Source organism: Homo sapiens, chromosome 2, assembly GCF_000001405.40.
Source record: "Homo sapiens chromosome 2, GRCh38.p14 Primary Assembly".
Taxonomy (NCBI): Eukaryota; Metazoa; Chordata; class Mammalia; order Primates; family Hominidae; genus Homo; species Homo sapiens.
Window position 1 is genome coordinate 174,911,422 of NC_000002.12, and position 19,722 is coordinate 174,931,143.

Below are 19,722 nucleotides of genomic sequence, written 5' to 3' on the forward strand. Positions count from 1 at the left end.
TTCTTTTCAACTACACACTCTGAACACGCAAATGTCTGTCTATATGCTTCCCTTGTGTGACAAACTTTCACTGAGTAAAAATCATTTTTCCTAAGTCAAGAGATGGAGCATAGGTAGAAAAGCCAGACAAGGCTCAGCCTAAAATTTAGGCTGAGATGGGGCATGGAAGAAGATGCAAATGAAGAGCAAAAAATATCTCACCCATAGAAAACCTGTCATGCCACATGGTGAAAACTTCTTTTCTGACTGCAGAAAGTTGGTAGTGTGACAGCACACATACAATACACACTCCCCTAAACAGCACCTCATAGCATTCATTAGGATCCTCAGTGGAGGGCTAGTCTCCTTTAAGTGCAGGAGAGATGCCAATGCATGAGGGAGGCGTGTTCTTTGAAACTCTGTGCCCTACTTAAACCTTACAACCTTGCTGATCACACCATCAGATTTTCAGGCAGATCATTTATAGTACTGGGAAGGATAAGGCTGGACCCACAGACATTTCTTAGGCAGTTACTTAACTAGTCCAGAAAGTGGCTTAGAGTTGAAAAGGAGAGGTAATTTTGAGAAATACTTAAGAAATAAGATCGTTGGTTTCGGCTGTGTGAGATGAGCAACAAAGAAAAAGTCCTCTTAATCATTATCATACAGGTACAGCACCCAGGGCTTGCCAGGGTCCAAGAAAAGTGAAAAATACGGAAATATAAAAAATACGAAATATGAAAAGAAAGGTATGGCTCCAAAACACAAAAAAAGAAAATTATAAAACTAAAGTTAATTTCAAAAGCAATTTACATAAAATCCTTACACAATTTTCACAGCAGAAAATATGTATTTGATACGAAGTATAGTGTGTAGTATAATGTAAGGTAGGGGCCTCTGGATGAATAGTGCCAGGCCTTACAAATACAATAAAATACACCTAAAAGAAAAACTGAAAATAATTTCTTAGTTTCTGTCTTATGGAATTGACTGAATAATAATGTGACCAGCTAATAAAGGAAATATAGATATCACAGCACATTTGGGAGAAAAGTGTTGAGTTCAGTTTGAGATATACTGAGATTGAGGTGCCTATGAGGAATCAAGTTCAAGGACTTATTCCTAATTTTAGAGCCCCTAGTTGACACAGTAAATGCATAAATAACACTGATGGGTATAAAATAGACAAACTGGCTACCCCTTAATGGATTACGTGTATGTTAAAAACAAATTGATGTGAACTGGGAGAATCACCAGTTGAAATGGGAGTATCAGATAAGAATAATACATATATCGGTGCAACTTCTATTTCAGACTTTGCTTAACACTTCCTAGCCATACATCAAGTTTAAAACAAGGAAAATGTCAATCATATTTGGGCACATAAATTACTCAATGTATATTGTGAGTAAAATTCCTCTATCTATGACCATTACAGCCCCTTTTTACTCACTATTTTTTCTTTTCCAAGTAATGATTTTATGGCAATTTTCAGTAACAAAAGAAAGACTGTAAGTTACCCCAGAGATATTAATTTGAAACATTTCCATCAAGATTTACTGGGCCAAAGTGGATGGGAAGTGATTATAAATGTAAAGCCATGAGTAGAATGGGAGAGTGCAAGAAGGCAGGAATGAGAAAGAGATATGAAGGTCTGGGTGCTACTTTTCTCCAAACTAAATCCTTAGCCTTCAAGTATTTGCTGGTATCAGCTGGTGAAAACTGTGTGACAGATATAAGATGACAGGCAATGTGGTAATGTGGTGAAAGTACTTGAATTTTGTAGTTAGGAAAAACTGAGTTCAAATTAAAGTTTTATAACTTCCAAGTGATCCTGGAGAAATGCAGGGGAAATGGCAACCAAAAGGAAAGAAAGAGAGGCTTCTGTTTCTCATTTTACCTCACCTTCTTCCTTCCTTATTCTGGACCATTTACATCAAGGCTGTTTACCATAGATAATCAGATGACCAGACTATTTGGAAATAAGGTGGTGAAGAATTCTAGAATTATAATATGTTAGGAGTAGAAAGATGAAGAAACCAACTTCAAGAAATTCTGTGATTTGCCCCAAATCAGTCTTCTAATTCAATTAATGGTAAATTGAATAGGTATTTGAATTGCCATACCAGAATTTTTTTCCTGTATACCACAATTTAAACCTGAAAAAAACAGTATAATTAAGTAATTGAAGTGGAATTTACACTTTATAATTTACCATAAAAAGCAAATTTCCATGAACTCCTGTGACAAGCTCTATTCTCCAAGTATTCAATTATTTCAGCATTCAGTATGAAATAATACTGAATTGTATTCATTCTATTTAATAGAAAGATTAATATCAAATCTTGTGGACAGGAATCAGAGCAGGCCCTGCTCGCTCACACAGGTATAAGTGATTGGAGAAGGAATTAGACATGTTAGTCCTAAACATTAACATCAACTTTCTATCCTCTATTTGTGACTACCAAAAGAAATTTCATATATTTGACCTCTGTCTTCAGAAGTCTCTGCTTTTAAGTCTTTTCCAAATAGATGAATGTATATATGAATGAACAAATAAAGGGATGAACAAAGACAACGGATAAATATTCCAAGCCTTTGGTGAGGCAGCAATGTAGAATGATTAAGAGCAAAGACTCCGAAGTCAGACAATCTGGGTTCAAATAGCAGCAGCACAAGTTATTAAATGTGTGACCTTCATCAAGTTACTCAATCTCCATCCAGGTCTTCTGTTTCCTCATCTGTAAAATGGGGGTAATAACAATACATAGAGTTGTTGCGAGGATTAAATGAGGTTAGAGGCCTGGCATAAGGTAAGTCCAGTGGATAAGTATGCTCTTGTATTATTGTTCTTACAAGTTGGGTTATTATTGCAGGGTTAGCAGGAGTATTTGTTTCTGGGCACTGTACTGTAAGCCAAAACACTAAGTGAAGCTCAGCTGATAGGGAAGAGCCAAGAGCTCCCAAGAAAAACTGTTCCAACCAAAAGCCAACCTAAGAGAAATGGCACTGACTTTAGCTTTATGAGTTATGAATATCTTTTCTCTTGATCTCTTTCCTTATTCAAGAAATTGACGGAAGCCGACAAGCTAGACAAACAGGAAAGAAGGGGTAAGATGGAATGGAAGGAAGCAGCTACCGCAAAATGCTTTAAAAGCTTTTCAGGCCGGGTGTGGTGGTTCACGCCTATAATCCCAGCACTTTGGGAGGCCAAAGTGGGTGACACGAAGTCAAGAGATCGAGACCATCCTGGCCAACATGGTGAAACCCCGTCTCTACTAAAAATGCAAAAATTAGCTGGGCGTAGTGGCACACGTCTATAATCCCAGCTACTCGGGAGGCTGAGGCAGGAGAATAGCTTGAACCCGGAAGCAGAGGGGGTTGCAGTGAGCCGAGATCGTGCCACTGCACTCCAGCCTGGCAACACAGTGAGATTCCATTCAAAAAAAAAAAAAAAAAAAGTTTTTCTATTCTTAATTACTGAGTGTTACCATTCACGAGGAATTTTTAAAGGGTCTCAAAGCTATTAAAATGGTAATTAGATCCCAAGAAAACAAGAACCAATTCAATTACATGCTGAATGCTTTTAAAATTTAAAGCCCTATATTAAGAGAGTTTTAAATAAAGCACAGTAGTAATTGCAGGCCCATGACCAACCTTAAAGCCAAAGTGTAGGTCCCTGGCTGCCGCTGGCTCTCCCGGATGAGGTAGCTCCCCTCAGCCACAATCAAGAGCTGGTCGGCTGCTTCTCTGGAGATCATGCCATGAAACCTAAGAAACAAAGTCTATTCAGAAACTGTGCTTTCTACATTTTTCAATAAAACAAGATAAAACAACGTCCCACCACCACCACCTTCTCTTGTTGTTTTCAAGACAAAGTACTGCCACATAATGGAAGGGAAGCACTTGGGTTTAACTATGCTTGTGTTTCTCTGGACCTGGCCCCCAGCCAGCTTCTCTGTGGTGATAAGAACAGCACCAAAGTACTACCCAATCCAGTTAACAACCATGGAATCAAAATTCACATCCATCTAAGGGAAGATCAACCACCTCTCTCAAGAGGACAATTCCTTTCTTACGTATCCATTTAACCATATGGCTTGCTAAAGAAAAGAAAAAAAAAAAAACGCAGAAAATGTATCCTATTTTCCTTTCTTCCCATTAGTAGCACTGCTCCAAAATTTTGGCTGAGTCTATGTTGGCAATTTTCCAGGACCCTGGGTTGTCCTTAATTGGCATGATTGCCCAATAATGTGCATAATCTGCATTACTGAACACTCAAGTCCAAAGCAAACAACTATAATACTTGTTTTCATTCCCTGCTAAAACCTTATCTTTGATTAACATAGAAAAATAGAGAAAAAATAAACACAAATAACATGCTCTTTACACAAACACAGATGAACCTATAACAATCTGGCATAAAACACTGAAAAAAATGTCAGTTGTGACACATATTAAAAATAAAAAGCCACCTTACACATTTTTATAGCGATTTACAATTTACAAAGAACCTATATGTCCTTCTATAACTCAAAGATAATGAAGGAATTCAGGACATGTCACCCCAAAATATGCCACTTTGCTGTATCGAGTATTTTGAGCTAAAGGCACTTCAAAAACATCAAATGCAGACACAGGCTTTCTCTGACTCTCCCTATCTACCTAAAGATAGATCATCCAAAAGGAACTCAACTGTTACCAATGTCCTCCCATGAGTTTCAGCAACCGGGGAAGACTGACTCTTACGGAGGAGAGAAGACTAAAAGTCGACAACACATTCATACAAACTCTTTCACAAACTATCATTTACCTTCCCGTAAATGGCCAGAAACTTCCCTCCCATTCCCCTGTTATGATGGTATACAAACTCTCAAATCTCACTTTTTGGAGTGGGATTCACTTTATTTTTTTCTGTGATGCCCCTGTGCAAGTAGTATTAAAAATTAACAAATTTGTATACCTTCTCTCCTGTTAATCTGCCTATTGTTTATTTCATAGACCCAGCTCTCAAACATAGGAGGGTAGAGGGAAAGTCTTTCCTCCCCTACAATAACTGCAATGACTCATTGCTCAAAAGAAATTTTGCAGCTTTTACTGGTACTAAAGAAACAATAGTCACTTGAATTTGGAATGATACATTTAAAAGGCGTTGAAATGGCACCTTAATAATTCAGGAACATTACTAGGGGCAAGAGGAAATTTTCTGGAGTTTTTCCTGATAGGGATGGTTCAGTCTCTCAATTTAACTCTTCAAACAGTTCACAGTAGGCATGTTCAAATCATGACAGCTAGGTTTACAATGGGCTCCTGAATTTCTTATCTCCATAAATTTCCCAGTCTTTGAGAACTAGGTCCAAAGGCTAATGCTTTGAATCTGCTGCAGGCAAGGAGATGGTAACCTATCCCTTGCTATTTAGCACGTTGGTATATATTTTAACTTTACATAATATCAAATAATACAGTTGGTAAAATATAGTTATCTATCTGTTTAAAAATTCAATTAACTGGCTGGGCGCAGTAGCTCACGCCTGTAATGCCAGCACTTTGGAAAGCCGAGGTGGGTGGATCAACTGAGGTCAGGAGTTAGAGACTAGCCTGGCCAACATGGTGAAACCCCATCTCCACTAAAAACACAAAGAATTAGCTGGATGTGGTGGCAGTTGCCTGTAGTCCCAGCTACTCGGGAGGCTGAGGTGGGAGAACTGCCTGAACCCAGGAGGTTTTGTAATTTTTAAAACCTCATTGCAGTCCAGGTGCGGTGGCTCACGCCTATAATCCCAACACTTTGGGAAGCTGAGACGGGTGGATCACCTGAGGTCAAGAGTTCAAGACCAGCCTGACCAACATGGTGAAACCCCGTCTGTCCTAAAAATACAAAAAATTAACGAGGCATAGTGGCGGGCACCTGTAATCCCAGTTACCTGGGAGGCTGAGGCAGGAGAATCGCTTGAACCCGGGAGGTGGAGGTTATAGTGAACCGAGATCGCACCATTGCACTCCAGCCTGGGCGACAAAAGCGAAACTCCATCTTAAAAAAAAAAAATTCAATTAACTTAAAAGAAAATCAAACTAAAGAAAACAAATTCTGAAACAAAACTTGACAATATATTTAAAGAATTTTAAAATTATTTGCACAAGTTGATCAAAAATTTCTAACCCCCAAGACCGCACGTACTGAGATGTTTCATATGATATGGTGTTACTTCCAATAGTATGGTTTAAAAGCAATCTATTATACCAAAAGCAGAATGACTATATAAATTACAATACAACCTTAACTTTGAAATCACCCTTTCCTCAACTCATAGGTGTGCATCTGTAATCCATTTCTAAGTCTTGAAAACATAAAGAATTTTAAATAATTTAAAAATATTTATAATGTATACTTTTATCTGATATGATCTCCAGTCAGAAAAAACAAACAATTTTGAGGAATGATGAGATTATGAGTGATTTTTATTCTTTTCCCCAAAGTGCTACATTTCTGTTTTTCAATAACCTGAAAAATTAAGGACTTTAAAAATCATTGCATTTTTCACAAAACAGAAAAATGCTCATTGTCAATTTTAAATGGAACAATCAGGCTATAAAATGATATGTATAATATCTCAATTTGGTTCAAATCCATTAGGAAAACATTTCTTCAGATATTAATACTTCAAATTGTTAACATTAGTTGTTTCTGAGTAGCATGAATTATTATATTTTTCTCATAATAAAGATAATACATACTATTTAAGAAAATCTGAAAAATAAAAATATATAGAATAAATCACCCACATCCCACTGTACATACATGTGTGTGTATATACGTATCTATATACCTAATATATATGTACACAAAAACACAAATATGTACATTTTCCTCATATACATCTAAGATTACTTACTTGTACGGTTTGCATCCTTAACATTATTGCATGTACATTTTCCCATGCTATTTTCTTATTTATACTTGTCTTTATTGTCTATATTGTTCACCAATTAGATCACATTTGAAATTTTTAAGAAATAAATGCAACTCCACCAAACTTGAATACTTCATCTTGCTTTCATTTAAAAGCATCCATTTACCCTGTCTGTCTTACATATGCCAATCTATAAAACGTTTTCTAATAATCCATACTTACTCTCTTCCATAATACTTTGGTCTGTTTTCCACCTATTGGGAAAGCAAAAAAACAGGCATATTTGTAAAAATGCAAATGTGCAGAACATAACTCAACATTTTGTGCATGTGACAAAGTAAAGCATATATTAAAAAAAGAATTCAAATAACAGAGTATGGAGTCCCAGTTCTACCAGCAGGTTACCTGTGCCATTTGGACTGGTCACTTCATCTCTCCAGACCTATTTCTTATTTATAAAATGCTATGTATGTAGTTGGACTAAACTATCTTTAGTTTCTAGAATTTAACGAGCTGAAAAAAATTTCACTTTATTCAAGAGTAAAATACAACACCCCAAAACATATAGCCACAATTGTGACACACTCAATTGCAGCTTTCTCCCCCATCCTCCCCTGCTATTCCTCTCCTTCTTGCTCCAGACTCTCCATTCAGTTAGCATTTCCATATACTCTTACCCTTCTGTTGTCCCATCATCTCTTCCCTCACCACAGCTTATCAGGGCATGTGTGTTGGCTATAGCTAAGAAAAGTCCCAGCAAGATAAATGCCCAGGAATTTTCACAGGAAGATAGACAGCATTCAAAATACACTCACTGAACAGCAAATATGTGACAGGCATTGTTCTACCTGCAGGGACACATTACTGTATAAGACCAAAATTCTTTTGGAACTTACATTCTAATAGTGACAGACAGACAATAAAGAAGCTTTAAAAAGAAAATAGAAAGTAAGAGTAAGTACTATAATGAAAATAGGAGTGGGTAACAAAAGGGAAGACTAGTGAGGTACTTATTAAGCTGAGGTACTTATTAAGCTGGGTGGTTAGCAAAGCTCTCTCTGAGATGACATTTAAAGTGAGTCCTGAATGACAAGATGCCAACTCCGACTGTTCATAGGAACAGCAAAAAAGCTTTTCCCTAGTAGGTACTTTGATGACACCATGTACTATGTTATTGAGCTCTTGCTATTTACTATGTGTTTTAGTTACATTTAAAGATCACTGAATCCTCAAAATAAAATAGGAATTATTCTACTTTGTCTTTATGAAACAGTATTATCATCCTCACTTTATTTTTCTGGGCAAAATTCACCTTTTCTTTCAAATGTACTTATAACTAACAAATAAAAGGGGTGTGTGAATGTATTATGGTATATGGCATGATGTTTTGATATTTGTATATATTGTGGAATGGCTAAAATAAGCTAATTAACACACACATTACTTCACATACTTTTTTTTTTTTGTGGTTAGAACACATAAAATTTACCCTCAGCAATTTTCAAGTATATAATACATTGTTATTAACTATAGTCACTAAGTTGTACAACAGCTCTTTTGAACATATTCCTCCAACCTAATGAAATTTTGTATCCTTTAACCAATATCTCCTGAATTCCCACCCCAACCACGTTCTTTCCTTCTCCTTCCCTCTGCCCCGATAACCACTATTCTACTTCTTGCTACTACGAATTCAACATGTTTAGATTCCACAAGTGAGATCATGCAGTATTTGTCTTTCTGGGCCTGCTTTGTTTCACTTAACATAAGGTCCTCTAAGTTCATCCGTGTTGTTGCAAATGACAGGACTTCCTTTGGTATTCAATTTGAAATAAACAGTATTCCATTGTATACTGAAATGGAATATACAGTATTCCATTATGTATATATACACCACATTTTTTTTATCCATTCATTCACTGATGAACACTTAGGTTGGTTCCATATCTTGAATACTATGAATAATGCTGCAAGGAACATGGGAGTGCAGATATTTCATCAACATATTAATTTCATTTCCTTTGGGTATACACCAACTAGTGAGATTGCAGAATCATGGTAGTGGAGAAACTGAGCGTCGGAGAGATTACGTAACTTATTCAAGGTTACTTGTTCAAGTGGTGGGGCTCAAGGCACAATTAGGATTCTTACTCAAAAATGGCAAAAAGGGAAAAAGCCCTCTGTCTATTTGACACTGACTCATTTGAATTTGGTTAAATATGGCAGTTCCCAAAGCAACTCAAAGCCTATCTTTTCAGTGATCTTCTCCCTTAGTTCTGCATACAGCTTGAGTGCCAATATCAAGTCTGATACTGTTTTCAGCAAACTTGATATAGTTACTCACAGCATAGAAAAACTTTTGTGCTTCAATAAAAAATTATGCATCATCTATAGCGGTGATCCCCAACATTTTTGGCACCAGGGACTGGTTTTGTGGAAGACAATTTTTCCATGGACCAGGGCAGGAGCGGGGGTATGGTTTCAGGATGATTCAAGCACATTGCACTTACTGTGTACTTTATTTCTATTATTATTATATACTCACCATAATGTAGAATCAGTAGGAGCCCTGAGCTTGTTTTCCTGCAACTAGACGGCCCCATCTGGGGGTGATGGGAGACAGTGACAGATCATCAAGCATTGGATTCTCATAAGGGGCATGCAACCTAGGTCCCTCGCATGTGCAGTTCACAATAGGGTTCGCGTTCCCATGAGTCTAATATGGCCGCTGATCTGAGAGGAGGCAGAGCTCAGGCAATAATGTGGGCAATGGGGAGCGGCTGTAGTTGAAGCTTCGCTGGCTCACCTACCATTCACCTCCTGCTGTGCAGCCTGGTTCCTAACAGGCCACAGAGTGGTACTGGTCCATGGCCTGGGGATTGGGGACACCTAATCTATAGCATACCCTACTGGCTTATCAGATTCTAGGCCAGTGCCTTTTGTCTGAGCTATTTTGGTACTGCCTAAGTTGTAGGTAACTAATAGATACATTTTTTCCTGCATATTGGCGGTTGAACTGACTTTTTCCCTACCCTCTCTCCGAGTGGAAAAACTAGTTTTGTCTCCATGTGCAATTCATCTCAATATTCCTTGACTCCATGTAAGAGTTTTTGGAGTTTTCCTTTCAACCGATTATAACATCTGCCTAGTTCTCTCATATTTTATGAGTAAAATAAATTTTTAATATGTGTTCATTTTCATGTCTATAGGAGAGTCATGATTTTAACTTTTCATTAAAATTATATGGTATTAGTCCATCCTCACACTGTTAATAAAGGCATACGTGATGAAACTGGGTAATTTATAAAGGAAAGAGGTTTAATTAACTCACAGTTCCGCATGGCTGGGGAGGTTTCAGGAAACTTACAATTATGGCAGAAGGGGAAGCAAACAGGTCCTTCTTCACATGGCAGTAGCAAGGAGAAGTGCCAAGCAAAAGAGGGAAAAGCCCCTTATAAAACCATCAGATCTCGTGAGAACTCACTCACTATCACGAGAACTCCATGAAGGTAACTGCTCCCATGATTCAATTACCTCCCACTGGGTCCCTCGCCCAACAAATGGGAATTATGGGAACCACAATTCAAGATAAGATTTGGGTGAGGACACAGCCAAACCATATCATATACTTAAATAATACTTTATCCCTCATGAATCTTCTGTTATCTGTGAGGTTGTAGTCAGGTTATTTATTATCTTCCCGAGGTAAGTTCCACCTGATTTGGCCTTGTTCCATAATAATTTCTCTGCTTATAAAACTCAGTGTACTAAGAATATGTCAGCTGGCTCCTACAGCTACAGATGATGGCTATTCTAGTTTTAGTACAGAGCTTAGAGTGGGGTCAGGCAACTGCTTGAGAATAAACCTTTGCTTACGAAGATGAAATTTCAATGTTTAAGTCTTAGATAATTAATTTTCTATAGCATTATATGATAAAATGTTACTCAAAAGAACCATTTAGTAGTGTCCTTTCCAACTAAAAATGTGAAATGCTCAGTATTTACTCTAAATGAAGATATACATGCACATGTACACATGAAAACATGAATAAGAATGTTCTCATATGCACTGTTCATAGTCATTTTTAAAATGGGTTAGTCAGGCATGGTGGCTCATACCTGTAATCCCAGCACTTTGAGAGACCAAGGTAGGAGAACTGCTTGAGGCCATAAGCTCAAGTCTAGCCTGGCAACACAGCAAGACCCCTATCTCTACAAAATATTTTTAAATATTTTTTTGGTGGTGGCACATGCCTGTAGTCCTAGCTACTCAGGAGGCTGAGATGAGAGGACTGCCTGAGCCCAGGAGGTTGAGGCTGCAGTGAGCCATGATCACATCACTGCACTCTCAGCCTGAGTGACAGAGTAAGACCCTGTCATTCATTTATTCATTCATTCACTCATACATACATAAAAAAAAAGAAATATTTTAAATATACACCAATAGGGCAATAACTAACCTGATTTATAATGTAAATAATATACACAGTTTGAAGGAATAATGTAGATCTATTGAGACTAACATGGCAAAATCATTAAGACAAACGATTGAATACAAATATAAATTATGAAATAACAATACAGAATGACACCGTTTAGGAAAAAGCACATACACACGTAATATGTATTTATGGCATAAATAGAGATCTGGAAGTATGCATACCAAATTCAAATTGTTACCTCAAGGAAAGTGGGTGGAGAACAGACCTGAGGGGGCCAAGGAAAAGGCATAAAAGGAACTTCAATCTTGACCATAATATCATAACTCTTAAAGAAAAATGTATTCGTACATTAATTATATACCTAATATCGCCTTTAACAATATAATTTTTTTTTTTTTTCTTTTTGAGACGGAGTCTCGCTCTGTCACCCAAGCTAGAGTGCAGTGGCTTGATCTCGGCTCACTGCAAGCTCCGCCTCCTGGGTTCACGCCATTCTCCTGCCTCAGCCTCCTGAGTAGCTGGGACTACAGGCGCCCGCCACCATGCCTGGCTAATTTTTTGTATTTTTAGTAGAGACGGGGTTTCACCGTGTTAGCCAGGATGGTCTCCATCTCCTGGCCTTGTGATCCACCCACCTCGGCCTCCCAAAGTGCTGGGATTACAGGCGTGAGCCACTGCACCCAGCCAACAATATAAATTAAGATTAGCTTTTGTGTAACCTAATATCAAAGCTTGAGACACATTAGAATGGGGTCCCCCAACATTTTGAGAAGAGATCACGACCTTTCCTTCAAATCATGAGATCTTTGCAGGTAGTTGAAGGTATATGGCACTGAGGTTAAAGGAGAGTTTTTTAAAATACTCTACTTATCAAGGAAAATCCTGGACAAGTATAAAGAAGTGTGACAGTAGTGAGATTGGTGGCTGCAAATGGTGTGGCAATCCATTACATTTCCCAATCCAAGACAAATACTGATTATTTATTCAATAGTCTTACAGTAAGTCCATAATCTGCTTCCATTAACTGCCTAAGTAATCATCTTCAGAAAACAATTGATTATGGTCTTACATTACTAAATAATTATTTGCTTTACCCAAAATAATTTTGAATTAAAGGAAATTAGGTAAGCACTGATAATTAAGAGTATTTTTATATATAATGAGCACTATATCGAAAATAAAATTCACACACCAATTTCATCTTTCCTGTATTTTTATAATTGAAATGTCAATCAAAACTTGAGATTTTTTTTCTCTCATGTCTAGATAGTAAAGGGGATCACAATATACTACCCTAAAACATGCTACATTGGCATAAGAATTATTTTAAACTGAAGGCAATTTAGAAACATCAAACATAGACACTTTCTGTACTCCTCCTTTCTGTCTAAAAACATAGCATAAATTCCCTTTTGTAAAAGAAATTTACATTTGTAAAGAAAATTTCCATATGTAAAGATGTACTCTTCTACCATACTAGGAAGAGGAAACCAACTGCAGAGACAATTCTTATCTCCTGAGATGACCTGAGTCTGCATAACAAATCTTACTAAAAATTCTTATTTATCACATATTTCCTTCCCACAACTTACCACCCTGCCAAGCCCAAATCCCTTTTTCTTTGTGTAGTCTCTTATCTCTATCACCCTTTGTTAAAATGGTATATAACCCCCAAGTCTAACTGCCTCCTTGGTGTTTTCACTTCTTTTCTGTGAGATCCCCCTCTCCATGTGCATGTGAAATAAACCCTTTCTCCTGTTAATCTGCCTTTTGTCAGTATAGTCCAAAAATCCCAGCTACTGAATCTAATAGGGTAGAGAAGTTTTTCTTCCTCTACAATAGCATTTAGATGTTTTGCTGAGATCTAAGGTATGATTACTTCAGTGGTGATTTGGAATCATCTTTTCAAACTCAGAGACAATATAACAGTACTTGGATAATTAAGGAATTTGTAATATAAAAATGATTATTAATAACCCCAAATTAGTTTACTTGCAAATACATCAAATGAGGAACTTCAAGTGTTACATGCTATAGGAAAAACATCTTTATGCTTACACAAACATTTATATGCTTCTTTCTAAGTTTTATAAATTAATAATAATAGGAAACTGTTTACAGATTAAAACTGGTTGAACTCAATGTGACTAAGATATGTTTTAAAATGAGTACTTGTATTGAATTACATGCTTTGCTTTCTCCAATTTTCTGTATTTAGTAGTTAACATTTTTTCATTGATACCATAAAATGGGTAGGAAAAATGAGAAGTGAAGAGAAGAAAAATGATTTCTAACTGAAAATAAAAGGTGCCTATAAAATGTTTTACCACATAAACAAACAAACAAAAATCCTAAGGTCTCCCACCAACTAAATGGACTCCCTCTTGGCCAACAGGGCCCCAAAGAAACCTGAAAAACTGAATTCCTAGCCATGATGGGAAGAGAGGTTGGACAAGCCTCCTCATACCCCCGCCTTTTGGTGTTTAGGCACAACTGACCAGCATTAACATTGAAATAGAGATTATAAGGCTGACAACACAGACTGTGGCAATAAGATACCAAATTCCAATCCAACTCTGGTATAGTATCATATGACAGATAGCAGATTCTAAAGGAGATACAAATATTTTATCCCAAAATATATTTCTTTGACATATTTTGAAAAGGCCCCGCAAAGCCATCCCTTGTGGGGGAATTTGCAACTGTGGAGAATTTCCATTCATATAGCCAGGCCTTCCCTTTCTAGGTCTTTCCTGGACCTAGGAGTGATTAAACAAGAATGTGACACCTTTAAGGTCTAAAAGAGACATTTACCATCTTTTCTCTCCAAAGGCTGCTACCCAGAGGCTTCATCTACATAACAAGAACAAGAACCTTGGTCTCCACAACTCCCTCTACCTTAACTCAAGCATTTCTTTCTACCGACTTCAAGTCTTTAAGCAAAGTTTAAGTCTTTCAACCAATTGCCAATCAAAAAATATCTGAATCCACCTATGACTGTAACACTTCAAGATATAACACCTCTTTAGGCTGAACCAATGTTCTTCCATGTATGGATTTATGATTTTACCCATAATTTCTGTCTCCTTAAAATGTATAAAACTGAACTAACCCAACTGCCTCAGGCACATTTTCTCACAAGCTCTTGAGAATGTTCTCTGGGCCTTGTTACTCATATTGGCTCAGAATGAATTTTTAAATATTTTACAGTGTTTGGTTTTTCTGTTAACAATAGCATGGTTTGCATAAATGTTATATGCTATTTCACTGGAGAAAAAAACTTTAAGTTAATCTACCATTATTGAATGTGGCATAAAATACATAGTACAATATAGGAATTCAATAAATAACTGAACAGCAGATCAATCATTTTGCAATGTTTAAAATATCAATGAAATTCATTAAATTAACATTTACTGTGCAGTTTTATAAACAATGAACTACTTTCATTTTTTTTTTTTTTCTTTTGAGACAAGGTCTTGCTCTGTCACCCAGGCTGGAGTGCAGTGGTGATCACAGCTCATTGCAACCTTAAATTCTGGGGCTCAAGCAATCCTCCTACCTCAGGCCCCTGAGTAGCTGGGACTACAGGCACATGCCACCACATCAAGCTGATGATTTTTTAAATTTTGTAGAGATGGGTGTGAAAGAAAAATAAATTATCAGGACCCCCAAATCACTAAGCCAAAGGGAAAAGTCAAGCTGAGAACTGCATCAAGCAAACCTGCCTCCCATTTTATTCTGTTGACTTTCACCCTGGCATTGTAAATTGATAGCTCACTTTCACAAGTACTGGACAAAGGACAGAACTCCAAGTCAACCCTGTGCCAACCTGAGACAAATGCATATCTGACTGCTTCCTCTGATGGAAAAATGCAGATTCACTGAGCTAGACAAAGGCCTAAGTGACTATTTCCCTATCTCCCCTCACAAGGTAAATTGTGTATTTGGTGAAAGTCTGATCAAAGACTCAAGAATGCAACCATTTGTCTCTTATCTACCCACACCATTTTTTTTTTTTTTAGACGGAGTCTTGCTCTGTTGCCCAGGGTGGAGTGCAGTGGCATGATCTCGGCTCACTGCAAGCTCCGCCTCCCAGGTTCACGCCATTCTCCTGCCTCAGCCTCCCGAGTAGCTGGGACTAAAGGCGCCCGCCACCACGCCCAGCTAATTTTTTTGTATTTTTAGTAGAGACGGGGTTTCACCGTGTTAGCCAGGATAGTCTCGATCTCCTGACCTCGTGATCTGCCCGCCTCAGCCTTCCAAAGTCCTGAGATTACAGGCGTGAGCCACTGCGCCCGGCCTACCCACACCTTTTTCAAATTCCTTCCTCCTTCCCCAATATCTGCCCTTTACCCTTTAAATAATGATGCCCTCACAATCATCTTTAGAGAAAGGCACAGACTCCTGCCTCCCGAGCACGCATCCTTAACTCTGTCAAAATAAACTTTCTAAATTAATTAAGACCTGTCTCAGATACTTTTGGTTTACACAGGATTTTGCCACATTGCCTAGACTGGTCTTGAACTCCTGGGCTCAGGCAATCCTCTTGCCTTGGCCTCCCAAAGCGTTATGATTACAGGCATGAGCCACCATGCTGGGCCTATTTTCCTCATACATAAACATTTTAATCTAATTCACTACATTATATTTTTTCAAATTAAAGTCTACTTCTTGTATCTTATTTTCAACAAAGACAATAAAAGCTTTTTTAATGTAGAAGTATTTTGCTCTCCACAGGAAATTTGAAAACACTAGAAATAAGCAAGAAAAGTATTATAAATGTTAATTCCCTTCTCTTCTCCCCAACAATGTTATTTCTTTTTTTTATTCCTGATTATTTCTTTTAGTAAGGAAACTTTTCCATGGCTACAGTTCAAGACAGTAGTCCAAAAAAAACCACAACAATAAAATTCTGCAGGTAATGCCACTAAAACATTTATAAAATTTCAAAAATGTTTAACGTTGTTCTTGCCTACAGTGGTAGTCATTGGGTCAGAAGTCAAAGGAATCATTATCTCCTTTGTTCACCCTGTGAAAAATGATACACATAGGCAGGCAATTTAGCATTTTAAACCTAGTCTGGAAGTCTATATGATGCTTCTTAAAAGCTAGCACATTACATACATGAAAATAATATGACTACACTGGCAAAATAGTACTTTTTTTTCAGGTAACAGTCTAGAGAATATGTATATAAAGATTATACGTTAAAAAATAAGTATTCTCAACTGAAGATTTGGTTCTGCATTGTACTTCAAAATGGCTCAGTTGTCTGGAGAAGTAGAAGGGGAAAAGGAGAACAATATGCATTTGATATTTGCTATCTACAGAGGTATATTCCGAATTAAAGGCTAGTAAGTCGGTCAGCATTCAACTCTAGCTTTGGATCTATTCTAATTTCTTATACTATAAAGTAAGGAAGGAGGAAGGGCAGGGAGGAAGAGAAACAGAAGCCACTGCCACTGCCTCGTGGCTTAGGAAAATAATCATAGTAATTCTATATATACACTGCTATCATATTTTAAGTCAAAATTAGAATTGAATAACAAACTTTACAAGTTTCTTATAAATTATTCATCATATTAAGATACAGTTACATTTAAGTGAAAAAATCAAAGTAAGGGATCTAACCGTTGTTTAAAGATAATTCACAAATGAAAATCATGACTCATACAGATATAAAAATAAACACGTTAAAAGTTTAATTGTAAGCATTAATCAATGAGGGGATCAGGCAGATGATATAACCACTTCAAAAGATAATCTGAAGAACAGACACATTTATAGATTAGAAATTTTGAAATGTATGTGCAAATAAGGGCAAAATGAGTTTTTCCACAATGGTATGCATGGGAGAGGTATATGACTGAACCTTCGCTGGACAAGGCAAAATATACATGTCTATAAATGCATTACTACCAGTTATCTACAAGTTACAGAGTTTAAAATAGGCCAAAGCCAAGGAAAGGCTAGAATCAGATAACCTGAGAAAATGTGCTGCATGTAGACAAGGCAGTTTTCCATTGAAACACATATTTTCACTATGTTTTCTAAATTATTTTTCTCACTGCACTTTAAGCCATAGAAAATATCAATATGGTAATAGCTAAGCTTCAACAAATCAATAAAGTTTAAACTTACAAAATCTTCAAGAAAAAAACTGAGTACCAGCAAAGTGGAGGAATACTTATAAAAGACCTACATAGAGTTGGAAGTGACTTACAGGGAAAAAAATCAGGAAAATGAGAATCAGATATGTTATGAAACTTACACAGATTGTTTTACTTCTATTACTCCATTTGTAGTAAGATAAACTTTCAGATACCTGCCTTCCTACCCAGTGCTACAGCATTCTAGTTACCAGTACTAGAAATGCAGCTTGTTTTCCATTGTTTTACATTTTCCCAAAGAAAACCATTAACCTTCAGCATGCCAAATAAGTTAGCTCACTATCTACGATCAAATTTTACTAATTCAATAAAGAATATTTACAAAGTTGTTTTTTAATACCCTATAAATACTACTTAATAACTTGCGAAGGCCAGACATGGTGGCTGATGCCTGTAGTCCCAGCCCTTTGGGAGGCCAAGGTGGGCGGATCACCTGAAGTCAGAAGTTCAAGACCAGCCTAGCCAACATGGTGAAACCCTGCCTCTACTAAAAATACAAAAATTAGCCATGCATGGTGGCAAGTGCCTGTAGTCTCAGCTACTCGGGAGGCTGAGGCATAAGAATCACTTGAACTCGGGAGTTGGAGGTTGCAGTGAGCTGAGATCATGCCACTGCACTCCAGCCTGGGTGACAGAGTGAGACTCTATTTCAAAAAAAAAAAGGAAAAATATTTGAGAAAACCCTTTGCGAAAAACTCAGCTTCTTAAGATTAGTTTTTTGGTTTTCAGTTTTCAAAAAATCAGACTGCATTGGAAAAGGATAATACATAAGTTTCATAATTCAAACTTCTTTGTATTCACTATTTTCCTACCTTAGATTCAAGTAACCAGTAGTGGTTAAGGTGTGGAAACTACCAATCTGTTTATTTAATAATTAACTGGTAAAGAAGTTCCTTTTGGAATTGTCATCGTGATCTTCAGTTTTACAAATGTGCATCTACATTAGGATATTACAGATTTTTACTCCAGTGCATATCTTACTACTTGTTTGTGAACTCTGATGGTGTGTTTTCCTCTTAGTGTTGGAGTCTCTCTCTGGAGAGTGGCTATAAATTCAAGCCCTGCCCTAACAGGGTTCCAGGGGAAGTGGTCATGGATGCGTATAGTTTATCTTTAACAGGATACTTTTTTATCCAGTCGATGGCCTAATGCCTAAGTGTCTGACCCATGACGAGGTGTCACAGGAAACTTTTTTATACCAGCAGATATACTTGTGGCTCTTGTCTGACCTGTGTCCAATTTATTTCTCCCAAGATAGCCACTTTCTAGGAGAGCCCTGACCAGGAGGAGAGTCAGGTATGGATATGTCAGGTGAGACACAGAGAAGGAAACAAAAAAGCAAAGTGCATGACATAACAGAAGCAGTGTATTACTTGGTGATTATTGCAGAGAAGAGGACAGCACACCTCAAAATGCCAGAAAAGTGAGGCCACTTGCACATGCAACCAGCAGGTGGGATCACAAGAGAGAAAGGAAGAGATCAAAGCACTTTATTACGGCTCAGGGTGTTACCGGTGGGCTTACAAAAAGCAGGCATGAGCTCCGTGGAGTCATGCTGTCACTCAGAGGTGGTCAATGAGACATATCTGGGCAGCCCATGCAGGGTATGGGGGTTGGGGGGCAAGTCAAGTAGGTTGTACCTAGCTGGCCCAAAGGGAGGTCAACAAAGGAGTCTGCATAAGGCAAATATCTGGATTGGCAACATTAAGAAACTGGCAGGAGGTAGGAATTAGAAACTGTGTCAAGGGTGACTAAGCCCTGTTTCTGGTATGAAAAAGTCCAACTTAATATTCAAGACGGATGCCTAGGTAACAAACAATTATAGGAATTTACTATAGCTGATTTTTTTTTTTTTTGAGACGGAGTCTCGCTCTGCCTCCCAGGCTGGAGTGCAGTGGCGCGATCTCAGCTCACCGCAAGCTCTGCCTCTTGGGTTTTATGCCATTCTCCTGCCTCAGCCTCCCAAGTAGCTGGGACTACAGGCATGCACCACCTACGCCAGGCTAATTTTTTCTGTATTTTCAGTAGAGACAGGGTTTCACTACGTTAGCCAGGATGGTCTCGTACTCCTGACCTCGTGATCTGCCCGCCTCGGCCTCCCAAAGTGCTGGGATTATAGGCATGAGCCACTGCGCCAGGCCTATAGCTGAATTTTAAACAGGAGCAAAAGATAGCACTAAAAGACCACTTCAAAAGAAATATATGGCAAAAAAAAAA

General features: G+C 37.6%; 1 protein-coding gene across 5 annotated transcripts in view, besides 4 other annotated features; it reads right to left on the reverse strand.

The window, feature by feature from the left end:
• The window catches only part of CHN1 (chimerin 1), a 206,573-nt gene that overhangs the window by 112,613 nt on the left and 74,238 nt on the right, over nucleotides 1-19,722 (reverse strand). For 4 of the 5 annotated variants that reach the window (NR_038133.2, NM_001822.7, NM_001025201.4 and 1 more), the window contains 2 exons: nucleotides 7,113-7,144; nucleotides 3,637-3,750 (listed from right to left, as the gene is read on the reverse strand). Coding sequence is in view for 4 of the 5 variants with exons in the window: in NM_001822.7 (NP_001813.1) it covers nucleotides 3,637-3,750; nucleotides 7,113-7,144 (146 nt within the window). In the remaining variant the exon portion in view is untranslated. Of the gene's footprint in view, nucleotides 1-3,636; nucleotides 3,751-5,903; nucleotides 6,011-7,112; nucleotides 7,145-19,722 lie in introns of all 5 variants that reach the window. The other variant, NM_001371514.1, reaches the window with a different exon arrangement.
• Nucleotides 2,579-3,778: an enhancer, noted in NCBI's record as "MED14-independent group 3 enhancer chr2:175778728-175779927 (GRCh37/hg19 assembly coordinates)". NCBI's record gives its function as "activates an origin of replication core promoter dependent on BRD2, BRD4, P300/CBP and CDK7 cofactors, and independent of MED14, by STARR-seq in HCT116 cells {active_cell/tissue: HCT116}" and the evidence as "EXISTENCE:reporter gene assay evidence [ECO:0000049][PMID:35650434]".
• Nucleotides 12,494-13,240: an enhancer, noted in NCBI's record as "OCT4-NANOG hESC enhancer chr2:175788643-175789389 (GRCh37/hg19 assembly coordinates)". NCBI's record gives its function as "activates a minimal SCP1, AML or CMV promoter by ChIP-STARR-seq in naive H9 embryonic stem cells {active_cell/tissue: H9 hESC(naive)}" and the evidence as "EXISTENCE:reporter gene assay evidence [ECO:0000049][PMID:30033119]".
• Nucleotides 13,316-13,930: an enhancer, noted in NCBI's record as "NANOG-H3K27ac hESC enhancer chr2:175789465-175790079 (GRCh37/hg19 assembly coordinates)". NCBI's record gives its function as "activates a minimal SCP1, AML or CMV promoter by ChIP-STARR-seq in naive H9 embryonic stem cells {active_cell/tissue: H9 hESC(naive)}" and the evidence as "EXISTENCE:reporter gene assay evidence [ECO:0000049][PMID:30033119]".
• Nucleotides 13,931-14,544: an enhancer, noted in NCBI's record as "OCT4-NANOG-H3K27ac hESC enhancer chr2:175790080-175790693 (GRCh37/hg19 assembly coordinates)". NCBI's record gives its function as "activates a minimal SCP1, AML or CMV promoter by ChIP-STARR-seq in naive and primed H9 embryonic stem cells {active_cell/tissue: H9 hESC(naive and primed)}" and the evidence as "EXISTENCE:reporter gene assay evidence [ECO:0000049][PMID:30033119]".